Below are 15,288 nucleotides of genomic sequence, written 5' to 3' on the forward strand. Positions count from 1 at the left end.
TTTTTTTGAGACGGAGTCTTGCCCTGTCGCCCAGGCTGGAGTGTAGTGGCGCGATCTTGGCTCACTACAAGTTCTGCCTCCAGGGTTCATGCCATTCTCCTGCCTCAGCCTCCTGAGTAGCTGGGACTACAGGCGCCCACCACCATGCCCAGCTAATTTTTTTTTTTTTTTTTTTTTTTTGTATTTTTAGTAGAGACAGGGTTTCACCGTGTTAGCCAGGATGGTCTCGATCTCCTGACCTCGTGATCCACCCGCCTCGGCTTCCCAAAGTGCTGGGATTACAGGCATGAGCCACCGCTCCCGGACTGTGTAATATATTTCATGCATTTCCCCAGGTGTTGTGTGGTTCTCCTCCTTGGCTTTTTAAATAGCTGCTGTTTTGTGGAACATTGTGATTACTTCACTGTGCTTCACTTGCACCTTTACTCGTGTGTTCTCCATCACAGCCGCGTTAGTTTACTGCCTTCATGCTCATCTCTTCCTAGACTCTTGGGGCTGGTATGACCTCTTTGTCATTAGAATCAGGGCAGAGAGAAAATATTTAGCAAGTATGTCTGAAGGAATAGATGTTCCTTCTGGGCTTTATAACAGCGTTTTAAGGTGTAGGTAAATATGAGCAGTTTTCAGCCAAGGAAAGGAGTCAGATTAAACGGTCACACAGCAGCTATGTGGAAGTGGGTGAACTCAAACTTTGGTTCAGTTCTCCTAACCCCAGCAAAGCACTTGGCAGTGTTTTGTTTTGTTTTTTGTTCTGTTTTGTTTGTTTTGGAGGTGGGATCTCGTTCTGTCAGGCAGGAGTGCAATGGCACGATCAGCTTACTTGAGCCTCCTAGGCTCAAGCGATCCTTCCACCTCAGCCTCCTGAGTTGCTGAGATTATAGATGCATGCCAGCACACCTGGCTAATTTTTGTATTTTTTGTAGAGACAGGGTTTCACCATGTTGCCCAGGCTGGTTTTGAACTTGTGTGCTCAAGTGATCTGGCATGAAATACCGTGCCCGCCTTTATTTTTTATTTTTTTTAAGGCTAGTCAAGTGAAGCAGTGGGAATGGGAAATCCTCTGTTCTTAAGAAATAAAACATGGGGGTCGGCTTTCTCTCCCTTGAACTTTCAACTCTTAAATTTTTTTGTTAAATTTTTTAAAAGTTAATTTCTAAAGCCATCTTCTGGTTTGTCTCAAGAGAAGACATTACCTTTTGTCCTGAATTCTCTCCCCTGAACTTTCTCTTCTTCGAACTTTCAACCCTTAAATTTTCTTGTTAAATTTTTAAAAAGTTAATTTCTAAAGTCATCTCCTGGTTTGTCTGAAGAGAAGACATTACCTTTTGTCCTGAATTGCCTTTATTCCATAACAAATAGCATTTGAATGCCTTCTGTATGAATGTATGTTCTGAGGTTTGGCCAATATCTACAGTGTTCATTTGACACTATCACTCTGGTCATTTAAAGAGTACTTAAAAATTTAAATCATTTTAATATGAAAAACCTTTCTCATTGTTTGGACCATGCACTAGTGCCCTAGTATCTCTAGTGCACTACACATATCTGATTTTCACTTTCCAGGGGGGGATTTCTATCTCAGGGTAATGGAGATTATAACTATCAACGGATCCTAATCTTTTTTATTTCCTGGTTTCTGAATCATAGAATTGTTTTGCAATTAACCATAGAAGCAAGAATCTCTTTTTGGGGTGAGAGGTGGTGCGTAGGAGCAGAGAAGGGATATATAGGAATAGAGTGATCTATTTTATTTTACTATTTTTTCTTTATATTTTTTAGAGACAAGGTCTTGCACTGTTGCCCAGGCTGTAGTGCAGTGGTGCATAGCTCACTGCAGCCTCCAACTCCTGGGGTCAAGCAATTTTCCAGCCTCTGCCTCCTGAGTAGCTAGGACTACAGGCAAGTGCTACCAAACCCTGCTAATCTTTTATTTATTTTTTGTAGATATGGGATGTCTACTTGCCTAGGCTGGTCTACAGTGCTTAGGCTCAAGCCATCCTTCCTCCCTTGGCTTCCCCAAGTGCTGGGATTACAGATGTGAGCCACCGCACCTGCCTAGGGTGATATATTTTAAGAGTACAAAGTAGATTAGTTGTCATTGAGAATGAAAAGAATCAAATCTAGATGTTCGTGTCTCAATTTGAGATCTTCATGTTGCAAAAGGTTATTTTTGATTTGTAACTTTTTAAAACTTTGTAATCAAGTTGATTTATTTGTGGTTATTGTAATACTATTTTGCCAAGTCATAAATGGTTAACTTTACTGCATTCAGATTTGAGAATATGCTTTAGGTTTTAAAGTTGCAATCTTGACATCATGTATGAATTATCTCACAAAATAACTACTGTTTGGAGAAAGAACTGATCTGATTTCTTCTTTTTAAACCAGTGATACTAAAGGTGTATTTAAGCCTGTTTTGAGTTTGTTGAAACATCACTCCAAAGTGGAAACATGGAAGGCTTCGAGCTGGACAGAGCTGAGTATAAATTTAAATTTTTGCCATTTCCAGACTAGCCATTTATGGGGCTGATCTTTGCCTTGTTTGTTTTGAGGGTTAAAGGAGATAATGGGTGTAAGATACCTATGCCTTGTCTAGTTAAGTGTTCAGCAAATACTAATTCTCCCCCACCTGTTACAGTGAGCTGGGGATTCCCTGTGTTTGCATAAGGTTGTCCTGTAGCTCTTTCTGTATTTACATATGTGATCTAGTCTTGAAGGTGGCTGGCTGGGGGGGCGCTCAGTTTTGTGTATTGAAAATTGCTAGAAACTGAGAGTTGGTTATTATATTGCCATTGAACTTCCTGTGTAATGGATGGTTACCATGTGTTTGTGTTATTCTCTGGTAAAAGGCACTTTTTATACCAGTGGAGTGTAAATTCCAATGTGAAAACGTTAATCTTTGAAAACCCTGAGCTAGGCTCCTGTTAACAGCCACTTGAGGTTATCTGGTGCTAGAGGCTAACCAGATCCCATTAGGCAATCCTTTCCCTCCCTGTAGCACATTACCCGAGGGCGGGACTCTTGGAAACTTCAAACTGAGGCTCCCCATGGCTGTCATTGCTTAAGATCTCCCCTGGGTTTTTACAGAATGGGATAATGAGAAACCTTCCAGACAGAGGGGCAGTCTTATACCTGTCTCCATTCATTTTGCCTCCCTTCCTCCTCCCTGCCTCTATTTAAATCTTTCCTGTTCTTTAAACCCTACATTTCTCAGGATGCTTCCCCAGACAGCTCTCAATTCCACCCTTCTGTCTGTATTAAACATATTAGCACTGACACCCACTGCCTTACCTACTGCCTTGGCCTTTTTGATGCTCATCTCGGATTACAGCCGACCCGAGGGCATCCACCAGCCAGCCTGCCGTGCCCTGTGCATCTCTGGCCTGGCTCAGCCGTGGGTGCACTCTGCCTGGTCCACAGAAACTGATTCTGTTTCTTCTTTGTCAGATCCAACACTCTGTCTTGGAAGAATTCTCTGTAAGGTTTTCCACACAGCAGTCTTCTGTCTGTTACTTTTAGAAAGAAATGAAAAAAGTAATTTAAAAATAACTTGATGGCTGGACATGGTGACCCACACCTAAAATCCCAGCACTTTGGGAGGCCAAGGTGGGAGGACTGTTTGAGCCCAGGAGTTCGAGACCAGCCTGGGCAACATAGTAAGACCCCCCAAGTCTGCAAAAAATACTAAAATTATTTGATAGCTGGGTGTGGTGGCATGTGCCTGTAGTCCCAGCCACTCGTGAGGCTGAGGTGGAAGGATCACTTGAGCCTAGGAGGTTGAGGCTGCAGTGAGCCGAGATCTCACCACTGTACTTCAGCCTGGGTGACAGTGACAGCCTGTCTCAAAACAAAAACAAAACTTGGTATATGCCTTCCTTAACTGTTTTTCTTTTCACAGACATATGTTAAATAAATGCCATACTTTTTGCTGTATAACTTGATATTTTTGTACACACGCAGTGTGTATTATATCAATATGCATTCTTCTAGAAATGATTTCTAGTGATTGCATGTAATTCATTTTCCAGCCTGTAGGTGTAACATAATTTTTTCAACTATTTACTTATTACTGAATTTTAAATAACACTGCAGTGAACATTATTCTAGTTTTATTGAATGACTTCCAGCAATTAACTGTGTTGAATTACTAAACATAGTAGTTTCTTTCAATAAATTTGTGGAATATGTTCATCTTATTAGTATCTGAGTAATTTACTTCGTGGTCCAGAACTGAGCTAGGTGTCAGGGATACACGTAGACATAAGTATTGTAGTACTAAGGATAAAACAATGCGTATACCAATAGGAAGGGATGTCAGCTACTTAAGTAAATAGACTTTAATTATTTAGATAAAATAGACATGAAAGAACTTTAGTGTATGCAAATTTATAAAACATCAACCAGCAGCTGTTCATACCTCTCCATGTGTGGGGTGTTGGGAGTGGGGCACTGAGATGCAGACTGTGGCAAAAAAAAAAAAAAAATCTACCTGCTTTACAGACTGTGGGAAAAGAATCTACCTGCTTTACAGTTGCATGACATGGTCACTTAAGAGAGTGGGGACAGAAAGACATGGACCTGGGTAGCTTTGGAAAATGGTGTTTTGACTATAATCTATAAAAACTACAAAAAGAACTGCATAAACGCTGTACTCTAGTGGGTAAAGTTTCTCATGGGACACAGGTTGACAGTTCCAACGCTGCTTTATATATGTACAAGGGTTAAACAAATAGTGAAGGGGTGGTGGATGGAGAGAGCCAAGTTTCCCACAGCTGGAGAGGAAAGTCAAAGGTATGCAAGGAAGGAAAGCTAGAACGAACCTTGTGGGACTGTATTAAAGTCAGAAACCTCAATGTGAACTTAGGTTTAGCTTGACATAGATACAGAAATAATTATATTTTAGTGTGTATTCATGGATTAGGACACACATGTATTTCCTAGATCTGTTCACTGAAAGAGCTTAGAAACAATAACACCCCAGTATCTTGGTTCCTAAATTCCATTCTCTAATCACAGTAACCAGGACTCCTTGAAGAAATGGATAATTATAGGTCTGGGGCATCTTGCATTGTCAGAAAATAAGGAAGTGCTCACGAAACAAAGGATGTGGGCATGTCTGAAGGCCATACCAGCCAACCTCAAAGAGCTCCTAATAGCCAAAGCTGGAATAATTTGAGCAACAAAATAAATAATATGATGTACTGCATTATAGTCCAAGATATAAAATAAATATACCTGCACATAACTGTATACTGGGAGAAGAGACATCTTCCTTATAGAAGAATTTCGAGTAATGTTTGCAGATACCTCCCCGTTCACTAGCTAGGCCTTAGCCCTCCCTACACCTTGAGTGTGGACTGAATTTAGTGACTCACTTCTAAGAGACAGAGTATGGAAAGGTGGGGAAAAAGTAAATTTACAGTGGAGAAACCTGCCAGCACTACCTTGACCAAGTAATCAAAGTTTAACACAACCAGCAGTAAACCATGTTCAAACATGAAGAAAAGTTTCACTTTGGGAGAATTGCTTGAGGCCAGGAGTTTGAGACCAACCTGTGCAACGTAGCAAGACCCCATGTCTACGAAAAATAAAATTTAAAACTTAGCTGGGTGTGGTGGTGTGCGCCTGTAGTTCCAGCTACTTGGGAGGCTGAGGTGGGCACATCGAGGTTCCAGTGAGTCATGATTGTGCCACTGCACTCCAGCCTGGGGGACAGAGTGAGACCCTGTCTCAAAAAAAAAAAGAAAAAAGTTAAAAGAAATGTACAGTGAATACTGACATACCCCCCACCTAGATTCTATAATTAAGATCATGCAATCTGGGCTTTATTACATATCTACCCATCACACCATCTTATTTCAAAAAGTATTTCAAAGTAAATTGCAAACATCAGTACATGCGATCCCCAGCCCCTACCCCCAACAAAAATTTGTTTAAAATGTAATTTCTACATTCTCTGCCAAGGTTGTTGTGCAGCACCTACCAGCCACAGCACAGTTGACGCTATGTGATTGTGCCCTGTTGAGCCTCGAGGCGTGTGGGAAATTGGAGAGGATGTAGGTGATGTAGGCATGCTCCGAGGTGAGCACAGATGTGTGTGATTGGGTGACCCACTGGACTGACGTGGATCTGTACTTGTGGGTGCTGGGGCATCATGGGATCTGTGAAGATCCAGAAAATAGCAGCTGTTTCCTGGCACAAGGGCGGCTTTAAGGATGGCGAGAAGGGATGGTGAGTCAGCTCTGGGACAGAACTGAGCTACTAAAGTTGTAATAATGTAGAGTGCCTGAGCATTTATTTGGGGAGAGCCAAAGGCCTGCCTCACCATGCCATTCCCCCCTCCCCTCTGATCTCTTGGGAAAATAAATAGAGCGGGAAGAGAGGGTTTAGCTCAGGAAGGGGTAGGAACACTGATCAGCTCATCAATCAGGAGAGTGCAATTATGCAGAAAGGACAGAAATCACTCCCTGAAGGCCACAGACTTGGGGATTTGCCCAGAAGAAGACCTTACAGCTGCTAACAGTAGCCCTATTCAGTTGGGGTGCATAATGATTTTAAAACTAATCAGGAACCAAAGCCTGAGGCTGGGGACAAGCACAAATATCTTGTTGACAGAGCAAACATCTAGATTTTGTCAGATAGGAAGTTTCTGAGGAGGTCAGAGTGATGTAATGGTGTGCACAAAGCTTTCATCCTTAAACAGATGGGCCCCCGAGGTACCATCTGCAGCTCCCTGGGGCCCTTCAAAATGACTTCCTATAAATTAAATAGTCCTAAATTGGTATCGAGAAATTAGTGTGGTAGCCATATACCAGAAGCAAAACTAGACAAAGGAAGGAAATTTCCATGGAGTTACCCATTTCCTTTTCTTCCCTTGCTTTATAAATAGCAAGGGAGGTTTATTATTTTGATCAACTTTCTTGGTTAACATGTGAATATTATTGCCTCCCTCAAATAGCCATCCAAGGTAAACTTCCCTTTCTCCTCTTAAGCTGGGACAACTGCATTGATCCCTACCTAAGCCAGTGTCAGCTGGATATTTTTCATAAACTGCCTTGCTATTTTGGGCGTTCTGTTTTTGTTGAGGAGGAAGTAGTGGTTTTGTTTCTGGTTTTTTTCTTTCATCAAAGGGATATTTGTTCTGGAAGGGCAAGGGAAGGGGATGCTTCACAGTCTAGATCGAGGGAGAAAATGTCCGACATCATATGTAAGTGGCTGATGATGAGTCAATTGGTGAAACATTTCAGAACAGAAAGTAGGTCCACTGTACTCATCCTTTTATTTATTCAACACTTACTGGCACTTTGATTCGCAATGGACAATATAGCCTCTGTTCTCAGGGAGACAGACAATCAAAAATTAGCGAAGTAAAGTTTACATAGGTATGAGTGGAGTATTAGAGAAGCTGGGGCAGGGGGTTCAAGGAGGAGGTAATTTTCCTTTCTTGAGATGGAATCTCACTGTGTTGCCCAGGCTGGTCTCTAACTCCTGGGCTCAAGCGATCCTCCCTCAGCCTCTGAAATCACTAGGATTACAGGCAAGGGCCTCCATGCCCAGCAGGAGGTGATTCTTGAGCTGCGTTTCAAGGGAGTAGCCAGGTGAGGTGGGAGTTGGGTTGGGGTAGGGGGGACCACCCTAGCCAAGGATGAAAGGTGAACCGGGTGGTGTGTGTGGGTAAGTGGATGGAGCGTGGGGTGTGGAAGGGAGCTGTGAAGAAGGTTGGCTTGGAACAGGAGTGAAGAGGAAAAGCCGAGGCAGGTGCATGTGGGTAAGTGGGTAGGCGAGGCACCAGGGCGGGAAGCTGGGGTGTTAGCACGTCAAGCCTGCTGGCTTCTGTTACCTGAGTAAAATGGGAAGAAAGGGCATTTGCTAGAGTAGGAGGGAGGAGAATGACAAAAGTTTGAAACAGTGGTTGCGGGGAGTGGGAGGAGGGCCTTTTAGAATATTCAGGGTCTTTTGGATCAGAGAATTCAAGTGCAGTGGCGTCTTTCTGCACAGTGATGTGATTTCTGTGGTCTTTCGGGCCCAGGGTATAGGTGAGGACAAGCTGAGTTGTGTTATTAGTTCCCTTGGGTTTGGCTAAAGAGGAGGGTTGCAGAAAATTGAGGGTGCGGCAAGGGGGTGATTGGTGGTGGAGTCCACACTGTGGGAATGAAGAAGGGGACATACTCAAGGGACATCCGAGAGCAAGGACCTCAGGAGGGAGGGGGTGTGCGAGCCGGAAGGATAGGAGGCTGTGGTCATGAAGCAAGAGTATGGAAATACGGCTTCTGACTGAGGTGTGACCCTGGAAATGGCTGGCCAGAGTCAAGAGCCAGGGATCAGAGCTTAAGTGCAGGCGTAATGAGAACATCTGCCATCACTGACCCTGCGCTGGACACTGCCCTAAGTGCTTTGGACTATTCATTCAACCCAGCCCCACAAATAGGTACTCTTATTTATTGCCATTTACAGGTGAGGCAGCTGAGGCCCAGAGAGGTGAAGTAATTGCTCAGGGTCATGGAGTTAATAAATGGTGGAGCGGAGCTTCTAACCCAGGTTGTCTCCTCTGCTCTTGTTCCTTTAGGAGCTGACTGCTGGGCAGGAACGTCTCTCAGGAGAAAGAGTGGAAGAGAAAATTGTGAACTAAGGCCCCCTGCCCCCTTTTCCTGGTGCATGTGAAGTTATCAAAAACAGGTAGGTGATGGCTGAGGATTGGGGTAGAGTGTGGTATGACTGTGAGTAGTGACTCAAAGAGGGATGAATCTTTACATGAGGTTAGAAGAGAGATGGCCTGTAGAACGTCCAGTCTTTCCACCTGCCCAGAGCCACTGGTGAGCCAGCGCCTCCAGGGGAGAGAAGCCCTGTCAAAAGCAGAGATAGGGGAGTTAGTGTTTAATGAGTACAGAGTTTCAGTTGGGGAAGACAAAAAACTTGTATAGGTGGATGGTGCTGATGGTTGCAGAAGGACGTGCTTAGTGCTACTGAACTATATACTTAAAAATGGTTAAAACGGTAAATTTTATGTCTATTTTATCACAATGAAAAATAAAAACGTGGTGGAGGGAGGGAGTAATAATCACTACCATTTATGAAACCCTTTCCTGGTTCATTGTCACTTATTAAATATTTGAATGTGTGCTGGGGATTTTGTTAAGTGCTTTATGTGTATTTTCATTTAATCCTCACTTTCAGAGATGAGGTAAACTCTGCTGTACAGATGAGGAATCTCAGGTTTAACCAGATTAGGCAACTTGCCCAAGGTCATACATCCAGAAATGGTAGGGGCTGGGCTCAACCAGATCCTCACACTCCAAAGCCCTTGCTTGTAATTGTTAGGGAATTGAACAGTGGACAGAAGGTTCCAGAGGCTGTGGGGGAAGGGAGAGGGGGTTGTTGATGGAGGGAGGACCTGGGATAGGGAAATGCTGGGTGAAAAGAGGAGGGTTGGGGATAGAGGAGCAGCTAGACCAAAGGAATGAGAAGTCGGATGGACAGGACCATCCTCCAGTGTCCAGACTGGGCATGTGCTGTCATGGAACTGGCAAAAAGTCCAAGTGACACCAACTTGTTCTCAGAAAGGGGCTGGAGGTTATGGAGAAGTGGGAGAGCCCAGCGTGGGGTGTGCCAGTGTGATCCAAAGAAAGTCTTGTCAGCAGAGGATTCTTCCCAGACTGGGACCTGCGGCCGGAGGGGCTGGCGGTATGGACAGTGTGGACATGAGTTCAGCCTGGGTGCCTCTTCTCATCTTCCTCCTGAATGCCCTTTCTTCCTGCTGGCCTGCCCGAGGGGACCCAGGCTGCCCATTGAGCCTGAAGTCAGCAAGCTGATCGTGAATTTAGGTGCATGAACGTAGGGAGGGGGTGGCAGTGAGGAGGACTGAATATCTTTCTAATGCTGACAGACCAAATGCCAAGGGTGAGGGTAAATCATGACCAATTACCTGGCTTTGTAGATGATCAGCAAACTGCAAATATTTTGCCACAGATTTTCTTTGTTTTTAGCAGAATGGTATGAAATGCATACATGAGGAAATAAATTTTATCTGACTCCTTCACAGAGATTTTGAGGTTGTAACCTGTAACTTCTAAGGCGTGGCCAGTGGTATTTGTGATCCTCTGGGTGCAGATGTGGGTTTGTCTCAGATATTTGGGTTTAGTGAGGCGTTTGTGAGCTGCTGAGGAGGGAAATGCCCTCTCGAGAGTTTCTGTTACCTTCATGTGTTTACTTTAGATTCAGCAGGATTCTTTTACTGTCTTGCTGGTGGTTCTACAATCTGTGCTAAAAGCAGGCTGCCTGAGCAGTGCTTTCTGTGTAATAGAGGTGACCATGGAGAGCGTGGTTCTGTGATTATATAATAATTTTGAATAAATAAAAAGATGTCTCATGGCAGGTCCTATAAGGGCAGCCTGGAAGTGACATCATGAGGGATTAAGTTGCACTGCAGCTGAATCTTGCAGCTATCAGACATGCAGCAGTATGTCAGCTGTAACCTCCAGGTGTAAATAGACCTTCATCAGCATCGCTGGAAAGTGCTAGGAGGATCCAGAGTGCTGCGGGATGCTATCCATCAAAAGTCGTTTGCAGAACTTTGTTCCTGGCTGTGATAGGTTTTTAACCCCTGTAGCTGACTGGATCTGTGGAGCTTTTCATAGTTTATTTCAAGGAAAGGTAGCGGGTATATGTGCTCACTGGTGCCAAATTCAGATTGATTGTTTTACTGTCCCCTTTTCTGCCCCTTTTCACCAGCTAAGAAACAGGAGCTAGGTAGAATTTGCCTTAAAATCAAAACAGGACTAAGGTAATGTTAAGAGAGGTAGCGAAGTAGCCCTTTGTTTTGGGAAATAGTAATGGCTAACCTTATGACTAGTTACCTTCTGTGCTTTCTTGGAATTACCTAACAGGATGCTTAGGAACAGGATTGTGTCTTTTATTCACTGCCATATCCCTCAGCCAGAAACAGTGCCTGGCTTTTACTAGGCACTCTAATAAAGGAACTTCATGCAGATTAGGATTCTAAAGCACAGAGAGGTTAAATTGCCTGCCCGAGGCTACACAGTTAATGGGTTGGATTCCTTAACAACTGGTAGAGGCATAAAGTGGAAGTCACAGAAAATAATGTTTTCCCTTCAGAAGCTCTTCATTAACAATATTTGGGTTGGAGTTCAGATGTGCGCTCCCGGGATAGGCTGCCTCGGAGAGGGAGAGGCGGGGTCAGCTGTATCACGTTGGATCTGCTCCAGCTGCCGCTGCCGCAGTCGTCGTCTTTCTCTGTCTCGGCTGAGGCAGCCATCTTGCTCTTGCCGCGTGCTGGTGTTGGAGGACCCTCCCTGCTTCAGATTTACCAACAGCATGAATCAAGAAAAGTTAGCCAAACTTCAGGCTCAGGTCCAGATAGGGGGCAAGGATACAGCTCGCAGAAAGAAGAAGGTGGTACATAGAACAGCCACAGCTGATGACAAAAAGCTTCAGAGTTCTCTAAAAAAAACTGGCTGTGAATAATATAGCTGGTATTGAAGAGGTGAACATGATTAAAGATGATGGGACAGTTATTCATTTCAACAATCCCAAAGTCCAAGCTTCCCTTTCTGCTAATACCTTTGCAATTACTGGTCATGCAGAAGCCAAACCAATCACAGAAATGCTTCCTGGAATATTAAGTCAGCTTGGTGCTGACAGTTTAACAAGCCTTAGGAAGTTAGCTGAACAGTTCCCACGGCAAGTCTTGGACAGTAAAGCACCAAAACCAGAAGACATTGATGAGGAAGATGATGATGTTCCAGATCTTGTAGAAAATTTTGATGAGGCATCAAAGAATGAAGCTAACTAAAAGTTTGGTTTTTGGAAGCTGGCATGGACTAGATTGAACAAATCAGCTATGTGGTTCCAAAGTTTTACAGACACAGAGAACATCACCTGTTACTAGTTCAGTAATATAAATATTTTCTATATTAATAATGCTGTTTGTTCAGCATTTTTCAGTCATTTGATTTTGCATTTTGCACTTCCTCCCAGGATTTTTTTTTGGTCAAAATATGAAGTATTGGTGCAGTTTGAGGGTGTTTTGGTTTTTAATTCCTGGTTTTTTTGTTTTTTGTTTGGGGTATTTTTGGTGTATGTATGTTTATGTATGTGTGTGGGTATGTGTGTATATAGTGGAGAGCAAATTGGAAAACAGTTCTATTTATCCTCCTCCCTCCCCAGTAGAAATAAAAAAAACTTTACAAAACAAACAAACAAACAAAAAAAACCAATATTTGCCGAGACCAGCTCAGTTGTGGAGACCCTAACCCAGGGGTGCTAGAGGAATTAAAGACAGACAGACAGACACACACACAAATATAGGGTGTGGAGTGGGAAATCAGGGGTCTCACAGCCTTCAGAGCTGAGAGCCCTGAACAGTGATTTACCCACATATTTATTGACAGCAAGCCAGTCATAAGCATTGTTTCTATAGATTATAGATTAACTAAATGCATTTCTTACGAGAAATAAAGCGATGGGCCGAAACAAAGGGATGGGTCTGGCTAGTTATCTGCAGCAGGAACATGTCCTTAAGGCGCAGATCACTCATGCTATTGTTTGTGGTTCAGGAACAGCTTTAAGTGGTTTTCTGCCCTGGGTGGGCCAGTTGTTCCTTGCCCTCATTCCGATAAACCCACAACCTTCAGCATGGGTGTCATGGCCATCACACACGTTACAGTGCTGCAGAGATTTTGTTTATGGTCAGTTTTGGGGCCAGTTTATGGTCAGATTTGGGGGCCTGTTCCCAACAATATTGACCATGGTTTTAGAGGAGGCTTGAATAAAACTAAAGGCCAGGTGTGGTGGCTTATGCCTATAATCCGCGCACTTTGGGAGGCTGAGGCAGGTGGATTGCTTGACCTCTGGAGTTTGAGACCAGCCTGGGCAACATGGCGAAACCCCATCTCTACAAAAAATACAAAAATTAGCTGGACATGGTGGCTTGCGCCTATAGTGCAAGCTACTGAGGCTGAGGTGGGAGGATCACCTGAGCCCAGGAGGCGGAGATTGCAGTGAGCTGAGATCACACCACTGCACTCCAACCTGGGTGAAAGAGTAAGACCTTGTCTCAAAAAAAAGTAAAATTTCTGTATCTATTAATGCTAGTTTTTATAATTCATTTTATTAAAAATAAATATAATTTTATGATATAATTTTATAATTTTGTTATGAGGATTAAATGAGAAAGAACTTAGAACAGTGTACAGCACTTAGAACCATGTAAGTGCTATACATGTTTGAAAATTTGCCTGGTCTATTCTGAGACCACTACAAAAACAAAATTGAAAAAGAAAAAAAAAGAAAATTGTCCTTGAATGTCATTTATTTTTTAGGATATTTGATGGCTTACTTGGTTTTAATTTTTAAGTAAAGGCCAAAAAATTTTTTTTTAAACTATGGAGATGTCTTTAAGACTAGACCTGAATAAGAAAATGTAATTCAAGATACAACAGGAAGGCCAAATGAGGTCTGATTTTTAGTAATTAGAATGTTATGGCCGGGCGCAGTGACTTACACCTGTAATCCCAACACCTTGGGAGGCCGAGGCCCATGGATTGCTTGAGTCCAGGAGTTCGAGACTGGCCCTGGCTAACATGGTAAAACCCCCGTCTCTACTGAAAATACAAAAATTAGCCAGGAGTGGTGGTGCACACCTGTAGTCCCAGCTACTCCGGAGGCTGAGGCAGAAGATCGCTTGAAACTGGGAGGCGGAGGTTGCAGTGAGCCAAGATGGTGCTGCTGCACTCCAGCCTGGGTGACAGAGTGAGACTTAGTCTCAAAAAAAAAAAAAAAAAAAAGAATGTCACATTACAATCTGAACACTACATTAATACAAAATATTTTATAAACCAAACAACTAGAATACAAACTTTTAGTAGGAATTATCCACACAGGACCAAGAAAAGTATATTAGGAGAAAGTGTTATTGTTTGGTACAGTAGTCTTTAAACATTTTTCACTTTACAATCCTTTAAGTAAAATACTTTTTGCTCATACCTGCAACATTTGTAAATTTATAATTACACATTGTTTACTAAAGCTATTTCCATTATAAAATATAGAAAAACAAATAATGAGACAAGTAAACACGACTACAAATTTCAGTATTTTCTTTCTATACCCCTAGAGATCATCTTTTACTCTCTTTTAAGACATCTGGTTTAGAAAGGGTAATCTAGAAGAGGAGACCCACAGCATTTTTTGAAGGAGAGTTTATTATTTCTTTGGAGTTATATGTAGATGAGATATTGACAGAAAGTTATATTGTTAGACAGATTGAATATAGGATGTTTGGAGAGTAAACCGAAAAGCTATCCCTGGCCATCTGTCTAAAAATATTGGTGAGGTATCACAAACTCCTAAGGATTAAAGTGTCCCATTAGAATTTCTAAATCATTTCCTCATAACTGACAATAATAATGCTGTGCACTCTGGAATAGGGGAAAAATATAGTTCTTACACAGGTATGCAAAATTGCTTTTAAATTTGAAAGGTATTTCAACAACAGTCATGCACCATATAAGGTTTAGGTGAATGACAGACCACATATACAATGGTGGTCCCATAAGTTTATATTGGAGCTGCCCTATACAGGTGTACTGTTTTTTATCTTTAATACTGTTTTTTTTTTTTTTTTTTTTTTTTTGAGACAGAGTTTTGCTCTTGTTGCCCAGGCTACATTGCAATGGTGCGATCTTGGCTCACCGCAACCACCGCCTCCCTGGTTCAAGCGATTCTTCTGCCTCAGCCTCCCTAGTAGCTGGGATTACAGGCTTGCGCCACCACAACCAACTAATTTTGTATCTTTAATAGAGACAGGGTTTTTCCATGTTGGTCAGGCTGGTCTTGAACTCCTGACCTCAGGTGATCCGCCCTCCTTGGCCTCCCAAAGTGCTGGGATTGCAGGCATGAGCCACCGCACCTGGCCATATGCTGTGTTTTTACTGTCCCCTTTCTATGTTTAGATGTATAAGTACTTACTATTGTTTTACAGTTGCCTACAGTATTCACTACAGTAGCATGCTGTATGGTTTTGTATCCTAGGAGCAATAGTCTCTACCACAGAGCCTAGGTATATAGTAGGCTGTCCCATCTAGATTTGTGTAAGTACACTCTGTGATGTTCATACGGCAAAATCTCCTGACACATTTCTCAGAACGTATCCTCGTTGATAAGTGATGCGTAACTGTATTCCTGAACGGAATGGTAAGGAGGCCAGGTTAATCTTTCAGAAGTGAAGAAGTGGAGAGGAGATGAAATCCCTGGACTTAATATGGACAAGAG

The 15,288-nt window shown here is 42.8% G+C and overlaps 1 protein-coding gene and 1 pseudogene across 37 annotated transcripts in view, besides 1 other annotated feature; both read left to right on the top strand.

The window, feature by feature from the left end:
• The window catches only part of TANC1 (tetratricopeptide repeat, ankyrin repeat and coiled-coil containing 1), a 264,020-nt gene that overhangs the window by 23,874 nt on the left and 224,858 nt on the right, over positions 1–15,288 (top strand). For 26 of the 37 annotated variants that reach the window (NR_146421.2, NM_001350065.2, XM_047446107.1 and 23 more), the window contains exon 2: positions 8,567–8,676. The exons of the other annotated variants lie outside the window; for them this stretch is intronic. The gene's annotated coding sequence lies outside the window, so the exon portion shown is untranslated. The remainder of the gene's footprint in view (positions 1–8,566; positions 8,677–15,288) is intronic. 37 annotated transcript variants of the gene reach the window in all.
• Positions 2,530–3,187: an enhancer, noted in NCBI's record as "NANOG-H3K4me1 hESC enhancer chr2:159851555-159852212 (GRCh37/hg19 assembly coordinates)". NCBI's record gives its function as "activates a minimal SCP1, AML or CMV promoter by ChIP-STARR-seq in naive H9 embryonic stem cells {active_cell/tissue: H9 hESC(naive)}" and the evidence as "EXISTENCE:reporter gene assay evidence [ECO:0000049][PMID:30033119]".
• On the top strand, positions 11,137–12,205 carry BTF3L4P2 (basic transcription factor 3 like 4 pseudogene 2; annotated as a pseudogene).

This window comes from Homo sapiens, chromosome 2, assembly GCF_000001405.40.
Source record: "Homo sapiens chromosome 2, GRCh38.p14 Primary Assembly".
Lineage (NCBI taxonomy): Eukaryota > Metazoa > Chordata > Mammalia > Primates > Hominidae > Homo > Homo sapiens.